The 4606-nt window shown below is 53.1% G+C and overlaps 1 protein-coding gene and 1 pseudogene across 1 annotated transcript; both read left to right on the top strand.

The window, feature by feature from the left end:
* The first annotated feature begins 278 nt into the window (after positions 1-278).
* LOC101930434 (putative golgin subfamily A member 8I) lies at positions 279-4606 on the top strand. The gene is made up of 8 exons (XM_017022809.1): positions 279-303; positions 556-624; positions 1876-1951; positions 2383-2474; positions 3048-3148; positions 3231-3328; positions 3418-3573; positions 3962-4606. The coding sequence occupies exons 3-8, from the start codon at positions 1933-1935 to the stop codon at positions 4003-4005; spliced, it is 510 nt and encodes a 169-aa protein (XP_016878298.1). The 5' UTR covers positions 279-303; positions 556-624; positions 1876-1932; the 3' UTR covers positions 4006-4606.
* On the top strand, positions 2003-2239 carry RN7SL82P (RNA, 7SL, cytoplasmic 82, pseudogene; annotated as a pseudogene).

Raw genomic sequence — 4606 nt, forward strand, 5'->3', positions numbered from 1 at the left:
TTTGTTTGAGAATCCAGAAGCCCTTATTGTCTGCTTCCTTTCTCAGCTGAACCCCTGCCTCCAGAGCCCCCAGCAGTGCCCTCTGAGGTGGAGCCGCAGCACCTGAGGAAGGAACTAGATAGAGTGGCAGGAGAGCTCCAGGTCCAGGTCAAAAACAATCAGCGCATAAGTCTCCTGAACTGGGGACAAGACGAGAGGATTCGAGAGCAGGAAGAGAGGCTTCGGAAGCAGGAGGAGAGGTTTTAGGAGCAGCATAAGAGGCTTCAGCAGCTGGCCGAGCCACAGAGCATCTTCAAGGAGCTGGTGCGTTGCCCCTCCTGGGGAGCCTGCCCTCCCAAGCCCTCTGGGCCTTTGTTTCCCCACCTCTAAAATGGGGCAGTGTAGCCCTCATGTGAAAGGTTACTTCTAAAGGCACCTGTGAGCCAGGTGGCTGTGGGAGAGAGGGGATGATTTTTCTAACCGGCCTCCAGCCTTCCCAGTGCCATGGGAGGCAGACACCAAGTTCTGGGGTCTCCAGCTGCAGTGGGTGGCTGCTGATTGCTTCTCTCTGTCCAGAACAATGAGAACAAGAGCGCACTGCAGTTGGAGCAGCAAGTAAAGGAGCTACAGGAGAAGCTTGGTGAGGTGAAGGACACGGAAACCTCCACCCCATCCAAAAAGGGCTGGGAGGCAGGCAGCAGCCTCTGGGGAGGGGAGGTACCAAGCCAGAGGCAGCTCCAGCCTGGGGGCTGGTGACCCCAGCACCATCCAGGGCAGTACTGTGACTGTTTCTTGCTTCCTGCCCTCTGACTTTTAGAGGTGGGTAGCCCTGGGCTCCTCTCAGGTCTGGACATCATCATCCCAGCTAGAGGCATGGAGCCCCCAATCACAGGGGAAGAGACAGTGCTATAACAGGCTCCTTATGCCAGCTGCAGTGGCTCACACCTGTAATCCCAGCACTTTGGGAGGCTGAGGCAGGAGAATCACTTGAGGTCGTGAGTTTGAGATCAGCCTGGCCAACATGGTAAAACCTCATGTCTACTAAAATTACAAAAATAAAAAATAAAAATTAGCAGGGCATTGTGGCGCATGCCTGTAATTCCACCTACTCTGGAGGCTGAGGCAGGAGAATCGCTTGAGCCCAGGAGGTGGAGGTTGCAGTGAGCTGAGATTGCACCACTGCACTCCAGCCTGGGCCACAGAGTGACACTCTTGTCGGAAAACAAAACAAAAAGTCTCCTTAGATTAAAACTGGATTCCAGCCTCGGTTCCACTGGTCACCATTCAAGTACTTTGCATCTCTAAGTCTCTGTTTCTTTAACTTCAAAGGGAAGTTAGCATTTTCCTTACAGAGGTGCTGAGGATTAAATGAGAAGAGGGTATGAGATTTGAGGCTGGGGAAGGAGGCATGGGGTTCTAGGAAAGGGAGGCAGTCACTTAGGCCTGGAGTAAGGGGACAGGGGCCTGGGCAGGCGACAGAGCCCCACAGTGCTGTTGCTACCCTGTTAATGGGCCCAGAATCTGGAAGCCAGCCACCACATGCCCTCACACCCAGGGTCTTCCTGCAGGTGGAGCTGAAGAGCCAAGAGGCTCAGAGTCTGCAGCAGCAGCCAGACCATTACCTGGGTCACCTGCAGCAGTACGTGGCCACCTATCAGCAGCAGGTGGCCGCCTATCAGCAGCTGACCTGTGAGAAGGAGGCGCTGTACAGGCAGTGCCTGCAACAGACCCAGCTAATGAAACAGCTGCAGCAGCAGGAAGTTTGGGGCAAAGCAGTGGCCGAGATGGCCTGCCAAAAGTTGCAGGAGACCCAGGGGAGGGAGCTGCCAAGGATGGGGCTGTGAGGGGGACGACCTGGCAAACTCCATCCCTTCTCACTCTGTCCTGGCCCCTTAGGAGCACCTGGAAGCGGCCAGCCAGCAGAACCAGCAGCTAACGGCCCAGCTGAGCCTCATGGCTCTCCCTGGGGAAGGTACGGGAGACTGCTCAGAGGAAGAGGAGAGAGCCCCAGGAGGAAGGGGGGACTGCTAGCAGCATAGGATTGAGGAGTTGGAAGAGACCTTTAGAACAGCTGGTCATTATGCCGACCGGGTGCCTGCACTAAGTTCGGCATCAGTGTGGTGACCTCCTGTGAGCGGGGGGTCACCAAGTTGCCTAAGGGTGGCTGAACTGGCCAAGGTCAGAAAGGGAGCAGGTCAGAACTCCCACATCGACCAGTAGTGGGAGTGTGCCTGGGCGGAATAGCAAGATCTTGATTCTTAAAAGTAAAAATAAAGAACAACAGCTCATTCCTCTCTGGGGAGGGGCTGGCTCAGGGTTACACAGTGAGGGTGGAGGTAGAGGTGGGCCCACAGTACCTCCCTTGTTGGGTTGTCTGAAGACCCCTCTGGCCACCCCCCACAGGACACGGAGGAGAACATCTGGACAGTGACGGGGAGGAGGCACCTCGGCCCATGCCGAGTGTCCCAGAGGACCTGGAGAGCAGGGAGGCCATGGTGAGCCTGACTCCCCCCTGCACCCATTTTGCCACCTTTCTCTGTGGTCCCTCCAAGACCCCTTTATGCTCTTCGTTTCCCTGCCTTCTGATTTCTCTGGACCCTCACCCCTTCTGGGAGCCAGTGGTCAGACACCATTTCACCTGTGACAAACGTGTACTCTCTGAGGCCCCAAGGGAAGGGCCTGCACTCCACCTCTCTGCCCCGTTTGCTCCGTGTATGCCCCTACAAGAATGCTCGCGTCTTGCCCTCAGGTGGCATTTTTCAAGTCCGCTGGAGCTAGTGCCCAGGAGAAGCAGGCACAGTTACAAGAGCAGGTGAAAGAGCAGAGGGTGTGCTGCCAGCGCCTGGCTCACCCGGTGGCCTCGGCCCAGAAGGAGCCAGAGGCAGCCAGAGGCCCTGGAGCCCCAGGGCCTGGGGGCGAGTCTGTGAGTGGGGAGACCCACTGGGCCCTGCAGGAAGTCACGGAGAAGCTGGCCCATGCCAGGACTCACCTCCGCCTTCTCCATGACTTGAAAATGCCACCTGAGGGCAGGTCGCTGCCGAGATGTGACTGCAATATTTTGGCTCCAGAGCAGCTTTATGGACCAACTGGAGGAGAAGGCAGACCTGAGTGAGCTGGTGAAGAAAAAAGAACTTTGCTTCATCCACCACTGGCGAGATAGATGCCATCAGTGAGTGGGAGGCCAGGGCACGGCAGGGGGAGCTGCAGGACCGTCGGAGGGGCCCCAGCGTCTGAGCCCTGTCCTCCCGCAGGAAAATCCATCACCTTTTATCAGAACCAGGGGGCCGTGCCAAAGATGCGGCACTGGTAGGAGGACACCATCAGGCTGGAGCTCAGGGAGGAGATGAAGGTAGGGTGTGCAACATCTCTGTGGGGGTGGGGGTGGGTGTGAGGGTGGGCGCAGGCAGCGGCATGGCAGCTGAGCACCCCTCCCTCCAGGTGAAGCTGCTGGAGCTGCAGCAGATGGTGTTGCGGCTTATAGCAACTACAACAATGGGCACAGAAAATTCCTGGCCACTGCCCAGAACCCTGCTGATGAGCCCGGTCCAGGAGCCCCAGCCCCCCAGGAGCTTGGGGCTGCAGGCAAGCATGGTGGTGAGTGGAGCCCTCAGGCGGGGTGGGCAGGCTGGAAGAGGGGGGCTCCCACTGTGCTCAGATCCCCGCCTCCCTCTCTCCAAAGATCTTTGTGAGGTGAGCCTCACCTCCTCTGCCCAAGGAGAGGCCACCTGGCCACATCCTGTTTTGTTCCATTTGTATTCCCACTTCATTTATATACATTCCTTCTTCCTCTGAATTATTTTGAAGTAAAACCTATATATCATATCATTTTTTAAATTACCTTATATGTATCTGTAGAAGACAAGGAATTTTAAAAAATGAATATACTCATAATGCCATTAAATACCAAAAAATACATTCTGAAAATAGCCACAAATTCAGAGTTTACATTTTCTTGACTTTCTCATAAGTGATTTTTTTCTAGGTTATCTATTTCAGATACCTGTTTGCTCATATTTACATTCCTAACTGAACAATGTCTGAAGAGGTACTTAAACCTGTCATAAAACACAAATGAGCTTATGACCAAATGCTTAGTGCCAGAAAAAACTTCAAACTGCAATATGAGTCTCTCCAAATACAGAAAGGACCAGTATTTTAAGAGGTATGTTAACTAAAATGTTGCAGTGTATGGAGCAGAGCAGGAAGAACCTTTAAGTCCGAAACTTACAAGTAAATTTCATAGTTTCCGTGGTCCTTCCACAACAACCTCTGGCATCTGTTTTTTCTACAATGGAGGTAACAGTAGCTCTTTCAGAGCAGGAAAAGGCTTAGAGCAGTGCTAGAAGAGGGTGGTGGCTATATAAAGTTTAGCTATTTGTATATTGTAACAAACCACCTTTTTTTTTTTTTTAAGTCAGTAGTAGATTTCTTTTGGAAAAGTAGCCGCCTCCTGTCTAGAGATACCTGCAGTTCCACTAAGTGAACATTGGTGTCTGCTCACCTTTGCCTCTATTTCTCTCAATAATATACTCTTAAGCTGTTCCCTGATTTAGCAATTTTATACACTTTCTTTTTCTTTATTTTTTTTTCCTTTCCCTTTTCCTGAGACACTGTCCCGCTCTGTCGC

The sequence above is a fragment of the Homo sapiens genome, chromosome 15 (assembly GCF_000001405.40).
Source record: "Homo sapiens chromosome 15, GRCh38.p14 Primary Assembly".
NCBI lineage: Eukaryota > Metazoa > Chordata > Mammalia > Primates > Hominidae > Homo > Homo sapiens.